Source organism: Homo sapiens, chromosome 5, assembly GCF_000001405.40.
Source record: "Homo sapiens chromosome 5, GRCh38.p14 Primary Assembly".
In the NCBI taxonomy this organism is placed as follows: domain Eukaryota; kingdom Metazoa; phylum Chordata; class Mammalia; order Primates; family Hominidae; genus Homo; species Homo sapiens.
In genome coordinates, this window is record NC_000005.10 from 169,896,410 (window position 1) to 169,912,051 (window position 15,642).

A 15,642-nucleotide genomic window follows, 5' to 3' on the forward strand; every position below is an offset into this window, starting at 1 on the left:
CATTTTCTGCATCTTTGTTGGAGGGTAAATTACTTAACCTCTCTGGGCTATGATTTTCTCATCTGTAATATGTGGCTAATAATATTACTTAAGAAGATGTAGCTAATAATATTACTTAAGAAGCTGGCTGTAAGATTTAAACGAGGTGACACACTCATAAATCTTTCAGAAAAGCGCCTGTCAGGCTGGAACCACTTAATAAACTTTGGCTCCTATTATGATTACTAGCATTATTACTATAGGCAGTATCATCATTATTATTATCAAAGTGTGAGAACCAGCAAAGATTTCTATCACTCACTAGTCGCCACTCAAACTCTCATCTGTGTGAAGCAGGAATATTTATGATATAGTCCCTACCCGCTGCTCACAGTGGGTGTGGGAGTCGATTGATAATGTAGAAGAGGATAAATGTTTATAATAAAATGCAGATGCCATAGAACTAAAAGCAATTAGTAGATGACAGAAGATGAGAGGTAAAAAATAAAGTTAATAAAGAGGAGAAAAACTGAGCATCAACTTTGACGTGAGCTTCCTAGTAAACCAAGGCAGAAAGGGAATATAGTAAGACATATTTTTGTCATTACTTAGTGCTTAGTGCTAGACATTTCATCATGAGTAACAACCTTCTTTTGTAGCCTTGAACTCTAAGAGAAAATTATCATAAGAATATTTATTATGAATTTATTTACACATCTAAAATTTTAGGCTTTCTCTATGAGAAAGAGAATCCTTATGAGATTTGGAAAGTATCACAATAAAAATGGTTGAAGAAATGTGAGCTCTTTTTTTTTGAGACAGAGTCTTGCTCTGCCACCAGGCTGGAGTGCATTGGCATGATCTCGGCTCACTGCACCTTCCACCTCCTGGGTTCAAGCAATTCTCGTGCCTCAGCCTCCCAAGTAGCTGGGATTACAGGCACACACCACCACACCCAGCTAACCATTTTTGTATTTTTTTAAGTAGAGACAGGATTTCACCATGTTGGAAGGGATGGTCTCGATCTCCTAACCACATGATCCTCCTGCCTCTTCCTCCCAAAGTGCTAGGATTACAAGTGTGAGCCACCGTACTCGGCCAGGAATGTGAGCTCTTTAACCAAGAGAAGAGCAAACGGAAAGACATGATGGTCCCTTTAAAGACTTCACTACTGTATCAAGTGGGAAGTAGGGTTGCCCTGTAATATTTCCAGAGACAGAACCACAGCCCCATGGTTGAGAGCCTGGGGATGCAAACTGAGTTTCAGCTAAAGACAGAAGTTCCCTCAAACTCAAGTAATGCAACTCTGCCTTGTGACGGGGTGAGCTCCCTGTCCATGCAAGCATTTGTCTAGAAGGCCATCGTCAGGGCCACATGGGGAAGCTCTCACTGCATTCTTAGAGAGCAAAGAGATGATTCCTTCATCCCAGGATACTTTAATTTTCTCCAGGTCTATGTAATAGAGGAGTGGACTCTCAAAAGAAGAGCTGAGCTTTCCTCCCTTGAACGCAGATGAACAACTCTAATAAAAACCATTTCCTACAAAGCTGCTCCCCTAGAAATAAAGGAGCAGGCTAGCTAGAGCAATCAAATCACTTTTTAAAATGATTCTTTAAGATGAAGAGTATTAGGAAATAATTCGGCTGAGCAATTGTGAGTGGATTTGGGGAGAGAGTCCCCTGTCAGAAGTGACTCTGTCACCTGCCACCAACCTTCTTGTGTGTTGTTCTTCCTTTGTGTGTCCCAGCTTTCATCAGTACGTTCTGAGCTTCTGGGGCTGACTGAGGCTGCATGAACAAGTATGTGTCCCTGGGGCTCCCACAGCTCTACCCCAGCTCTCCTCTGCCCATCAACTGGCTGCCATGGTCTCCTTTCTCATGGGGGCTCCGCTTGGGAAGGGCCATATATTGCTCAGCACCATGTGATTGGTGCCTGCACAGTGTTGGGCCCACAGCAGCCAGGTGTACTGTATGGTTAGGAGCATAGGTTCTAGAGCCAGGCTGCCTGGGTTTAAAATCCAGCTGTCTCATTTACTAGCTCTGTGACCTTGGTCAGGATGTTTCAACTCTTTGAGCCTCAGTTTTCTTATCTGTAACATGGGATTGATAGGAGTATCCTCTACATGCACACACACACACAAAACAACAACAACAACAACAACAACAACAACAACACACACCGGATTGCAGTATGAGTTCAATGAAAGAATGACAGTTAAGCTCTTAACATAGTGTCTATCTTATCTACTATATCAGGGGTCAAAAAACTCTTTCAATCAAGGGTTAGACAGTAAATATTTGCAGCTGTGTAGGCCATGTGGTCTTTTTTCAAGTACTCAACTCTACCGTTGTAGCCTGAAAGCACACATGGGCAATATGTAAATGAACAAGCATAGTGATATTCCAATTAAACTGAATTTACCCAAACAGGTAGCAGGCAAGATTTGGCCCGTGGACGGTAGTTTGCTGCCGTTGTGTAAAGCAGCAAGTCAGAGAACCAGATGGAAATGAGCAACCACAGAGACTAAAGTGAAGAAGCAAAAGGTGGTAGAATGGTGGATTCAACAGCAGCATCCAGAAGTTAAGAACTCAGTCTGTGAAGTAGAACAGGTCTGGTTTCAAACCTGGCTGGTGAATGGTGTTTGCTCTCTGAGACTTGGCTTCCTAATACATAAAGTGCAAGATGGCAAGTAAAAGGGACCTTTCTCAAATGGCTGATTTGTGGATTAGAAGAGATATTAGACATGGTGCCAGGCATCTAGTAAGAGCTCAAAAAATGTTAGCAAAGAGGAGAATGATGACAAGGTGGCTGCTGAAGTGAACTAAACTGAATTGAACCACAGCCTCCTTTTGCCTTCAGCACGCCCAGACAGTATGGCTCATTAGGAAGAGCAAGAGTCTTAGATCCTCAGAGTGCCTGACTTCCTGCCTTGAGACTTCTCTCACTCTCTGTAAAGTGCAGCCAATTCATATTCTTTCTCCATGCCAAGAATCAGGTTCAATGAGACCCTGGAGGGAGAGCCTGCCTACCACCTACCTATAAATAGGATGGCAAGTCAGCACCAGCATCAATGATTGCAGGTCAAAAATGAGCCTTGGTTTCTCAGTCTTGCTTGCCTCAAATGGACTTGAGGATAGAAGGGCCAAAAGATCAATAATGGAGAATATAAATGTTTGTGCAGAGCTGCTTGGGCACTCAGGTTTGGAGCAGGACTAGGAAGGCCCTGGGCTTTGAATTGCTTTTGTTCGATGTTAGTGTCCTGGAAATAGACCTCTCTACATACCACGTTTTGTTGGGAGATGGTATTGCCATCCAAAGTGAGACTTTCAATGTTCCTTTCCATTCCTTGTTGGCATACAAAGACTGCATAACACATGAATTTCCCCAATGTGTTCACAGTGTTGTGCCTTTTGTTGACTCCATAAGTTTTTATTCTTACTTTCTTTACTCTCAGATTTTCCAGAAAAAAATTAAGCAGACTCTTACAGCCCTAATTAATGCTATCAGGCATCTGCCCTAATCATGTATTACTTGATACTGATTTTCAGTTATGTCATTTCCTTCCACTAAGATCATGAGAGTCTCACAAACTGTCCATTGTATTCACTTCAGGGTCTCCAGCACTCGAAACCACAAGCTGTCTTTTCTCTTCTTTCCTCCTTCCCTCTCTCCATTTAGCCTTTCTTCCTTTCCTTCTACTAAGCACCCACTATGTGCCAAACATTGTGCTGGGCATCAGGAACACCTCCAAGCTCTCAGATCTAAAGGAGGAGATGGGCAGGTAATAGGCAGCACGGTAAGACGCAAGCTTTAAGCAAGGTCAGGTATTGTAGAAATCCACCATCCCAGGCCCTAACCTGTTGGGACCTTTAGACAACCCTAACCTGTTGTCCCCTGATGGAGGGGACATCTGAGCCAGGCTTTCTATGATGACTAGGAGTTCAAGTCATTGAAAGAAGGAAGAAGCAGGTTCAAAGGTGTGCCTTGAGTCTAGACGTGAAATGGAAGTTTTTCCTTCCACATAAACTTAATTATCGTGGCTGGGCGAGATAGTGGCAAATGTCAGGAGAAGACTGGCTGGCAGGAGGCATGGCATGAAGGACCTTATTGGCCAAACAGATCTTCTGGAGTGATTTCAACATCTTAAAGCTTAGGCAAGCTGTACATTTACAAAGCAAACCTAAATGTCGAGTCTCTCTCCTTTGGGCTGTAATATTAAGAGTATTGACTCCTTCATGCACTACTTCTAATTAGAAGCTTCGATTAGCAGTATTACATGCTTTGGATGAACAAAATGATAAAATAAGCTAATTATGACTTAATGTGTAGAGTTGTTGCCCACTATCTTTCAATACACCAAGTCAGTGGGGAGAGGGAGAGCCGCAAAGAAGCTCTTGGTGGTGGAAAAACTGAAAAATATTTCCTCCTATTACCAAGATACAGATATAGCCTGCCTGGAATTGACTGTAAGTAAAGTGATAAAACCCAGCAAATCATCGATTAGGAGTTCACCATATATCTAGAACTGTCTTCACCTTGAGATACAACTGGTGTACCAAACAGCCAAGGTCCTGTCTATTTTGGAACTTAGTTACGGGTAGGAAAGGCTGATATTAAGTGAACAAACATCCAAGTAAACATGGATTTATAAAACGTGCTAGATGTTGTGACCAAAAAATAGAGGCCGGTGGGAGAATCATGAGTCCTAATTGACATTGTGGGTAAGGGAAGTGCCTTATGAAGAAGTGATGTTTGCATTGAGGAGGGATGGTGGGTGTGATTGAGGTGATGGGATGGGCATGAAAAGAGGGTGTCCAGGCAAACGAACATTGTGCACACTGGCTCTGATGCAAGAAAGGTATTTGGCCTTTGTAACAGCTAAAGGAAAGGCCAGCTTGGATGGAATCCAGAGAGCAGGCCACAGTTGGTCTTGAAGAGTTAGGCAGGAGTGATGATATTGGTCCTGAAGGCCACATTAAGTCTTTTGGTTGATTTTTGAAAACAGAATGACTTCAAGAGGTTTACGAAGGGTGTGTGTGTGTGTGGGCATGCATGCGTGCATGTGTGTGTAGGAGAGAGGTATATTAACACGTTTGCATTTTAAAATGATTTTTCTGGTTTTTCTGAGAAAATGGACTGGATGGGGCAAAAGTGGAAGCAGGATGAACCAGTGGGGAGGCTGTAACAGTCGTCCAGGTAACACATGATGATGGCAAGGTGGTAACAGTAAGATGATGAGAACTGGATAAACTCAAAAACACTGAGTATTACATTAGTTAGAGTTGAAGTGTGAGGCGGAAAGATGTAGAGAAAGGAAATTAATTTGATTTGAGTGGATTTGACTTAGAAGGCAACATTTTGAGACACCTAGAATGATGGCTTCTAATAGGCTTTCCCAGAGCCAAATGGAGGGGTTTTCTGGACCCTCAGCCATGTGCTATGGTGTTACCACCATGTTTGCTTGCATCTGTTGGAGAAGAAGCTACCCCTTCCTCTGCATGGTGGCCGCCTTGCAAGAACACATGGCTCTGGGGACCACAGTGCCCTCTCCTACCCTCAAGTTTGGAGCATGAGTGGTGTACACCATACCATATCAGGCATTGGCCTTCAGAAGTAAGAGACCACCCAGATGCCCAATCAGTCAAACGGTTTGTTTCTCCCTCTCTGTGTGCCAAGGAAACCACAGAAACCAAAAACACAAATGAGGCTGCATCTTGATCTGTAGGGTTAATGCCATCTATCAGAAATACCACAAAAACACTGAAAAGGTCAAGGAAAGTCCAGGAGGGGAATAACCAGTTAGTCTAGTCGTGTTTAACTCCCCTACAAAAGAGCTGATGAACTGCTGAGAAAAGCTGTCACAGGAGCAAAGAGGCACAATGATAACCAGCATCACTTGGTGGTGACTGTGGACGAGGCCATCTTTTTAAGGCTGTGCTATTTTATATGATCCTCATGTTCCCAGTGAGCCACATTTTAGAAAGCTGAGGCACAAAGAAGTTTAGTGATTTTGCCAAGCCACCACAGTAGTGAATAGTCCAGCAGGGCCTTGTGCTCCAGGGGTCATGCTCTTATCCACTACGTGATTCTGTAGCAAGAGGCCACAGGCTATTAAGGTCAAGTAGAGTGGTTTCTGGAAGGGACAGCCTTGACCTGGGTTGAGAAAAGTGGGAAATACTGAGGGTCAGCTGTTTTGTAGACTGCACCCCGCTGAGGCTCCCTGGGGCCATTTGGGAAGCTGGGTTCCTGGCATGATGCTGAGTGTTCCACAGAGAGGGAAGCCTCATTCCTGACTGTATTTTTTCCTCAAATCCTTCTGAGCACCCTTAATCTGCAGAAAATGGGTTGGGTACTAGGGACACGGCAGTGAGCTCAGACATTCTCCCAGAGCCCACAGAGTAGTGAGGGAGACATAAAAGAAAGGGGTGAGGCCAGGCGTGGTGGCTCACGCCTGTAATCCCAACAGTTTGGGAGGCCGAGGCAGGCGGATCACAAGGTCAAGAGATCGAGACCATCTTGGCCAACATGGTGAAACCCTGTCTCTACTAAAAATACAAAAATTAGCTGGGTGTGGTGGCACATGCCTGTAGTCCCAGCTACTCGGGAGGCTGAGGCAGGAGAATCGCTTGAACAAAGGAGGTGGAGGTTGCAGTGAGCTGAGATCACGCCACTGTACTCCAGCCTGGCGACAGAGCAAGACTCCATCTCAAAAAAAAAAGAAAGAAAGGGGTGAATTTCAATGTAAGGTGGTCATGGTGCATATCTGTAGTCTCAGCTACTGGGGAAGCTGAGGTGGGAGGATCTTTTCAGCCCAGGAATTTGAGGCTACAGTGAGCTATGATCGCACCTATTAATAGCCAGTGCACTCCAGCCTGAGCAACACAGTGAGATCCCCATCTCTAAAAAACAACAACAACAACAATAAAAAAAAAAAAAAAAAAGGAAAAGGAAAAAGTTAAGAGCAGGGTGGTAAATACCCACCAAGAGGAAGTCGGGGTGCCGCAGGAGTCCCTTGGAGCAGCATGCATCCCTGATATGTTTCTGTGGTGGTGTGAGTGTGAAGGCTGGTGGCTAAGGGAGCCTCCTCAAGGGCAGGGTTGTCTATTGTGAGCTTGGAAGAGAGTAGGAGCCAGCGGGGGCCGGGGGGCAGGGGGCGTTCGGGTGGGCACAAGTGGGGAGATGGGAGAAGGGAAGTCACTTCAGGACACAGTAGGTACAAAGGCCTCCAAGTATGGAGATAAGAGGAAGCAGGGCTCTTTTGTGGAACTGATAGAAGTTCAGACTTCCTAGAGGGTCGAACTTACTCGGGGCAGGGGGAGAAAAGAAGTAAGTTTGGAGAAAGGTGGGTGAGAGCTCGGTCACTGTAGCAGGAAGTTTGGACTTAACCCTAAGAGCAGTGGAAGCCTCCAGTGGGTTTTAGGGGAGGAGAAACTGGGCGGAGTGGCTCATGCCTGTAATCCCAGCACTTTGGGAGGCCGAGGCAGGTGAATCACCTGAGGTCAGGAGTTCGAGACCAGCCTGGCCAACATGGCGAAGCTCTGCCTCTACAAAAAATACAAAAATTAGCTGGGCGTGGTCCTGTAATCCCAGTTACTCGGGAGGGCTGAGGCATGAGAATTGCTTGAGCCTGGGAGGCAGAGGTTGCAGTGAGCCGAGATCGTTCCATTGACTCCAGCCTGGGCAACAGAGCAAGACTTCGTCTCAAAAAAAAAAAAAAAAAAAAAGTTTAGGGGAGGAGAAGGTAAGACATTTTCTGGGGCTGCCTAGATCCTTTGTACTTTCTTGGGTAAAAGCAGCATACTGACCTAGCCTTTGGCAAGAAGCCTGATGATTTGGTTCCCAAGAGACAGTACTGCTTGGCTTCAAGCAAGTACTTGAAAGCAAGGAGGGCTTTCCCCTCAGTCTTAATGCTAGTTGTCCCTTCCTTTTTCTTGCAACGCTGGGCTTGCTGAGTAGCTGAGATGTGTTGTATTTTTTAAAGAGCAACTTGTTCTCTCTAAATCACCTACCTGTCTATGGAATTTCTACCAGTGTGTTCAAACACCTCTCCAAAGTCTCACTTCTGGGCAGCTTCCCTTTAATGGGGGTGGTGGGGAAGGGTGCAGACAGGCAGGGGAGGGCCTGAGGGAGTGAGGTGGGAAGGGGTTGGCAGAGAGCTCAGGCCTTTAGAGTGCTGGCGACCTCAGCAGCACCATCATCTCATTCTCTCTCATTCACATGGAGGCCTTCCAACCAGCCTCTCCCCCTAGTGAGGGCCCCGCAGTCCTTTAAGAAGGCTTCCCATCATTTAAACAGACAATAAGTCTGACAGATACCGAGGGTGGCCTCAGCTCAGCGAGCATTAACTGTATTAGCTACATTGGAATTTCCATCAGTGACACTGTATGGAGCTAATTTGTGGGTTTGCTAATCCCCAAGTCACTCCTAGTAGCAACACATTTCTGTGTGGGAGGGCCTGCCCAGAAGACTATGGCACCTTCACTGCTCCACGGCTGGAGCAGCTCAGTGTGAGGGAAGAAACCGGCTCTGGAACCCGAGAGACCCGGGTTTGAATCCCAGCTCTGCCACTCCCTAGCTGTGTGACCTTGACTAAGCAACTGAACCTCCCTGAGCCTCAGTCACTCATATGAAAATGAAGATAGTAGTCATGACACTCTCATGGGGCTGAGGTCAGGATTCAGGGAGGCCGTGCAGAGTGCTCAGTAAATATGAGGTGCTGGCATGTATTTTCTACAGTGGGTTTAGGAAGGGTTGCAAACTCACATGGCTTCAGGGTGACACAAGTGGGTGAAGCCAGCTGGGAGCAAGCTAGGCAGAGAGAAATGTGCCACAAAGGGGACCCCTGCTGTCAGCTGCAGCCCCAGTTGGTGAATGAAACCCAGGAGCAGTACTGTTAGAGCCAGTGTTTTTTTTTTTTTTCAGGAGAAGCCAGAACTCTGTGTTAAATATCCCAACTTTTAAATGTTGGAGACTGAATTAAGCTTTTAAAATCATCTGGGGGCAAACCAAACACATCTGAAAGCCAGCTGCCCCTTGGCAACCTCTTGCTTTTTCTTTCTGCAAGAAGTGGTTTAAAATTGGGTCCTCAGTATAAATAGCTCGAGGCTGCCAGGCAGAGTATGTTGGGAGAGGACAGTTTGTGGCAAAATAATTTAATGCCCCCACCTCTCTGAGGGTAATGTCACTCGCTCTTCAAGTCCTGTATACGGGCTTGAATGATGTCCAGAATGGAACTGAAATAGAGAGGGATGGGTGTGGGGTAGGCAGGGACTGGACAAACCATCCAGGCTGTGTGCTGTCATACAGCACCTCTGGGAGGGGCCACTAAATGGCAGCGTCTGCACCCAGGAACTGCAAACCACCCAGGTGTGCAGGGCTCACCACAGCTGCGATTGGTCCTCTGTCCTTTTTGGACTTGAACAAAGTGAGAACACTTTGGGGCAGATGTAGCAGCCAGGAAGATTTACTTTCTGACAAGAGGATGTCTAAACATTCATTCACAGTCAAGCTGATTTCCTAAAAACAGCTGTCTTGAACCTGACTGTATCTAAAATGTCTGTTGCCTTCGTTCAGAAAGCCTCTATTCTACTTTACCCATCAACATTTTCTCTTACACAAGGTTTAATATCTCAGCAGGTGTTGACTGGTTGGAAGTAGATGGGGTACTAATTATAAATGAATGCAAAGACATTTTTCTTACACTAAGAGTTACCAAACGGTCCTGAGTTCGACCTTCTTTACATTCATTCGTGCAGTAAATCCTCAATGAGCGATTACTACATGCCAGGCATTGTGCCCGGGGCCGTGGATAGTCAGAAAGTTCTTTCTGACGTCAAACGCAAGCTTTACTGTCAGCTAAGAGAGCCTCAGTTTCCTCATATGTAAAATGAGTATGATCATAGTACTGACTACTGATTATTTCAAAGGCTCCCAAGCCAGTGTGTGCACATGGCCAGCATTCAATAAGCATTAGCCAGCAAACGGGCGTTCATCTCAATTAAAACCACCATCATTTGGGCTTGGTACTGTTATCCCCACTTCTAACATAGGAGCAAACTGAGATTTTTAGATTTTTAAAATTTATTTTATTTTGTTACGTTATGTTATGTTATTTCATTTTATTTGTAGAGACAGGGTCTCCCTATGTTTCCCAGGCTGGTCTTAAGTTCCTGGGTTCAAGCTATCCTCCTGCCTTAGCCTCCCAAAGTGCTGGGGTTACGGGTATGAGCCACCCATGCCTGGCCAAAACTGAGTTTTGCTGTGACAAATTACCTTGATGAAAGTCACATACCTGAGCTGGAGCTGGGATTGACCAGTCATCTAAGCCCATTATCTTTCTGCCAAATCACAGGGAAGACCATTCCTGACCTCCTTGCTTTACTGTCAGAAAGAATTGAAGGGTGGTTCTGGTTTAAGCTCTGGAAAGTCTATAGGGAAATTAGGGCCTGAAGTAGAAAGACTGCTAGCCGCCTCTGTCCTGCTGGAAATGTGCATGAGGCTGGTGCTGATGGTGCTGAGAAAGCAAATGCTGTCTAGAGGGAAATACTATCATTCAATAAATATTTATTGAGTTCTGCTATGAGTCAGGCACTGTCCTAGGGACTGGGACTACAGCAGTGAACAGAGCAGGGTCCCTGCTCTCACTGAGCTTATGGTCTGTCACAATCCTGTAGGTGAAAAGATGCCAAACATAAATATGAGGTTTTAGGAACGCCAGTTGAAATCAATCGAAAGATATGGCCGGGGATGCATCTGGGACCCATATCTGATGGCTGCTGAGGCATTTTGGTCACCAGTGAAATATTTTCTGCTTATTGGCAGGCAACTTGATTTTGCATTTGGTTTGCGTCATTCTTAGGGATACTGAAGATACAGCGATGTGCCCAAGTCAGATGAACACGCCCAATTTTAGGAGAAGATTCTGCTTTCATCTGGAGGCAGTAACCATGTATTTCTAGAAGGGAGCTCTTGGAAAGATCCTCTGGCCAGTTCTAGTCTAGTTCCTGTTTACTCTCTGCTGGGTTTAAGTGGCTGATAATTGGGCTCCTGCAGAGAAGCAGCTAAAATCTGTGGCTTGTTTGCTTGGAACATTTTAGAAAGTCAAAGTAGTTAATGATAATGGTAACCACCACTTAGCGAAGACTAGTTGCCAGTCATAGTGGCAGAGGCTTTACAGGCATTATCTAATTGAATCCTCACAAACAACCCAGTATGTTGGAAAGTTCAATTACCTCTGTTCTACACACAAGAAAATTAAGGCTCAGAGAGGTCAAATTCTTGCTCAAGATCACACAGCTGGAAAATGGCAGAGGGGGAAATGAACCAGGCCTGACTTTCTCTAGAGCAGTGGTTTTCAACTAGGGGTGACTTTGCCCCCACTCTGCAACCTTACAGGGACATTTGGAAAAGTCTGGAGACATTTTTGTTTGCCACAACTGGGAGGGGGTGCTACTGGCATCTAGTGGGTAGAGGGCAGGGATGCTCTAAACATCCTACAACACACAGGAACCGTTGGCCAGTCCGTGTCGGTAAACATCTCTTGTGCAGGCACTTCTTGCCAAAACATTTTGCATTTTGTACAATATTCCCAGTCTCCACTGAAGTGTTGTCTTTATCTCCTCTCTTGCTCTGCCTTCATCTAGAAGCTGTGATGGAACAATTTAGATCAAGCCATCCCCAGGAAAAGCTTTCATTGAACAACAGAGCAAGGGAAAGCCCAATGTATTCTGCAGCCCCATTTCAGTTAAGGTTCAAGTTCACTAATGCCAGAAAGGAATTCATTAATGCCTTACAGGCTGCAGGACAAATGTTAATAGCTTCACCTTTAATTTAAGCTCAGTTTTATTTTTATAGCTGGTCCCTTGGTGGCAACTAGATTTATTGGGACATTTTGAACAGCTGAGGCAAATCAATAAAGTATATAAGCACATGCGATTCTTGTGTTATTTGCAAATATAATTCTGATTACTCACATGCATATAGGCATACTCATACATGCTCTAAGAATATGCTTTCCCCTGCTCCATGTTTTAAAACTAATCCCCAAATCATGACATTTGGTCTTCTGAATATGGCCCCCAAGTTATGAGATGGGCAAGGATTGGAATGAATAGAGAAATGAACACAAATAGGTTCCCACCTGCTAGAGGAAAATAAATCCTTAAAGCATATGGGTCCTGGACGTTTTTGTCTATCTATAAATGCCAAGCAACATATTGCAATATGGAATCATGACCAATGTTGCAAAACTAAGGATACAGTGAACTATGTTTGTAGTTGTTCTTCATTTTACAGGTTTCAATGCATTTTTCTCTTTTCTTTTTTCTTTTTTTTTTTTTTTTTTTGAGACCGAGTCTCACTCTGTCGCCCAGGATAGAGTGCAGTGGTGTGATGTCAGCTCACTGCAACCTCTGCCTCCCAGGTTCAAGCAATTCTCCTGCCTCAGCCTCCTGAGTAACTGGGACTACAGGCCCCCACTACATTATTGCATTTCACCTTCAAAACAACCCTGAGGCATTAGCCCCATTTTGCAGATGAGAAAACAGGTTCAGAAAAATTAGGAATTATGTCCAAGGTCACAGAACTTGCCTCTGGCAGAGAGAGCCACTGTCTGGTGCTATTTCTGTCATAATTGTCAGCCCCTAGAGTGAATGTGAGCGAGGCTGAGCCAGGCTGCCTGCTTTCAGTAGCTGCTGCTGATGTGAGGAGAGTCTGTGGATGATTTCATCACCTTTGCTGTGCCTCCATTTCTAAAGCCTTCATTCTTTATCTATCAGGGCTCAGCTATGATGTGCTGTCCAGTATGGGAACCTTGTACCACATGAAGCTATCTAAATTTAAATTAATTAAAATTTTAGTTCCTGGGTCACATTAGCTGCATTTCAAGTGCTAATAGCCCAGTGTTGCTGGTGGCTACCATGTTCAACAGTATAGAACATTTCTTTCTATTCAGTAGCACTGGATCAGAGTGATTAAGGAAATGAAATCAGTGGGACATAGAATATTTCAGAAAGATGCTATCCAATTTGCAATGAATTTAAAAAAATCTAAGTTTTTTCTTTTTGAAGAAGAAAGTCTAAATATTTGGTTTTGGATTCACACTCCATCAGGTACCAGAGTGGGAATATTTCCCTGTGCTTATCTTTATGTCAGTCCTGCAAGGTGAGTATTATTATCTGCAAAATGTTTCTTTTGGATTAAGAAACAGGTTTAGTTACTTGACCAACATACATATCTTCTAAGTTGCAGAGCAAGAATTCAAACTCAAATCTGCCCTCTAAACCTATAATACATCTACTTTACTCTGCACTGTGAGTCCTCAACAAACAGAATTTTGGTTCTATCCCAAAGCCAGTGTCACTGTGAATAAAATACAATCCAAGATGATCACTTACAAGGATTATTATCATCCAGATTTGGAACTTCTAGAATGGTCTGAGTAGATAAACAGTGGGAAAATCACCTGAGACATACTTTATGGTGAATATCACTGAGTTGTTTACTTGGGGCTAATCCTCTCTTTTCTTCTCAGTCCCACAATTGACCCTTGTGCAGCTTGAGCCACAAAATGCCACTCAAATTCTGCACCAGCATTTTTTTTAATGACTCTGCAAGTCATCAGGGTGCCTTTCTCTCAGCCATTGGAACAAATTTGCCATGAGGACACTTAATGTTTACTCTGAATGGCACCAAAGCCAGGCTTATTTCCATGTCTGTGGCCTGGTGTTAGCTGAGCCATATGTTCCTGGCCCAGATGGCTCTCTCAGTTCTAGATGATTAGTACCGCAGATCCAGATCCCAAGTCTGTCCATTTGCAAAGAAGAGGACAGTCATCAGACAGGCCTTTCATGTTAGAAGTGGCCATCTGAGACAAACAGGACATTGTTCCAAGCCGGTTACCACCGCATGGAATATGTAAGGAAGATCTCTTTTGAGCCCTGTAATTAGGTAAGCAAGGTCACTACAAAGTCATTTAAAATTGCATCTCAAGACAGTTCGATGGCAGAGGATCTACCCCCTCAGTGCTGATTTATTGCTTACTCTCTTAACTTTTTAAAAAAAGATCAGCAGATTGATTGTGCCGCCTGTGGTTGGAGGCGTGCTTACCTTTTCTCAGGCCTGATTCATAAAACATGACTGACCTGTTTTCAGCATCCTTTCCCTGTGTGCCCAGGGAGCTCCTCCGAGGTTCACTGCACTAAGTGTTTGGCACTGAGTGAAAACGATATGTCATGTTCACAGCAGATGACCCAGCAGGGGCCACGGCAATGAAGTCCCCAAAATGACCTGTTACATCTCTAGCTACAAGACTCAGGGAAACAGAGAGGCAGTTTCTAATGGTCTCCTGGAGGAATTTGGACTGATGACTAAACTTTTTAGGTCACAGCTTTCTTGAGAAATGGCAGGTGCCCCTTCTGCTTCTGGTGAGGTCAGTCACTGGCTCCAGCCCCCAGTAGGCTCTCTCCAGCCCACCTAGTCGGTTTCTCCTGCAGGGGGTTGGTTAACCATTTGTCCTCAGAACACTATCCTCACAAGGCACAATTTCTGAGTCCTTCCTATATCTGGGGTATGAGCCACTTGGAAGTGAGAATAATAAGTGAAACCCTCAGGTGCCTCCAAGGCCCCAGGAAAAGCATTTCTACCTTTGCTGATGCTCGTTGGTCCACTAGCAGGCAGCTGTTGTTCTGGCCACTAAATCTCAGTGACATCAGTTCTTTTCTAGGTTTATTTCTTCATTAATGTTTTTATTTTATTTTATTATTTTTCACTGACAAAATGGCCCCTAGTCGGCCAGTTGATTTAACAGGTCAGGTATGTGCTGTGCTTTGAAACAGAGGATAAGAAAAAAAGGATGATCATTATTAGAGTTTCATGCCTTTCTCAGATCCTTATTACGCCTCTGCTGCATTCCACACACATACCAATCGTGTATGAATTTCTGTTTATTAGAGAACTCTCCTTCACTTCTCTTTTCATGCTATGGCGTTCACAGGACATCAGAGCCAGTGGAGCTTTTAGAACCTAGAGCTGTTCCCACTACACTGAGCTGTACATAAGATTGCCCTCCATGTCCAGACTGGGGATGTTTAATGTGGCCAGTGACATTTTTCCAAGTCTGTTTATTACCTGCTGGTGAGAGTTCCTGAGACAGTTTGAGATAAAACTTTAGGAGTAATTATACTTTATGAGGACATAATACCCTTCAGGCTTCATTTCACGTGGTGCTAAATCAATACTCATATTCAATTCTTTTCTGTCTGCCTTCAAGTTAAAGGCCACAATATTAAAGTTTCCTATAATTAGCCAAGAAGTTGGTGCTACAGAGATGGTAAAAATTGACTTCAAACCCTTTATCTGATTGTGCAAAACCAACACAAGACAGGTGGCATATTGGGTCACCAAGTTACATCAGCAAGTTCCACGGAAAGCCTAGATGCCAGGAAAGAAAATAAAGGGAGGGAAGTGTTTTCTACCAACTGCTGGGAAAAATAATGCCCCACTGTCATCTTCACTACCAGAGTCTCATGGGGCTATTAAATATCTTTCTGTTTTCATTTCCATGATGTTTCCTAGGTTGAAATTGTTCTCTCTAGAATGATTGCATAAGCCAAGATCCCTAACACTAGAGGGCATGGGCTAACTGCGTACCTATGCACATCAGGC

The 15,642-nt window shown here is 44.4% G+C and overlaps 2 protein-coding genes across 9 annotated transcripts in view, besides 1 other annotated feature; one reads left to right on the forward strand and one right to left on the reverse strand.

The window, feature by feature from the left end:
* Window positions 1-15,642, forward strand: part of DOCK2 (dedicator of cytokinesis 2) — a 446,108-nt gene that overhangs the window by 259,135 nt on the left and 171,331 nt on the right. The gene's annotated exons all lie outside the window — the stretch shown is intronic.
* The window catches only part of INSYN2B (inhibitory synaptic factor family member 2B), a 119,193-nt gene that overhangs the window by 35,107 nt on the left and 68,444 nt on the right, over window positions 1-15,642 (reverse strand). The window lies entirely within an intron of this gene.
* Window positions 10,651-11,380: an enhancer, noted in NCBI's record as "NANOG hESC enhancer chr5:169334064-169334793 (GRCh37/hg19 assembly coordinates)". NCBI's record gives its function as "activates a minimal SCP1, AML or CMV promoter by ChIP-STARR-seq in naive H9 embryonic stem cells {active_cell/tissue: H9 hESC(naive)}" and the evidence as "EXISTENCE:reporter gene assay evidence [ECO:0000049][PMID:30033119]".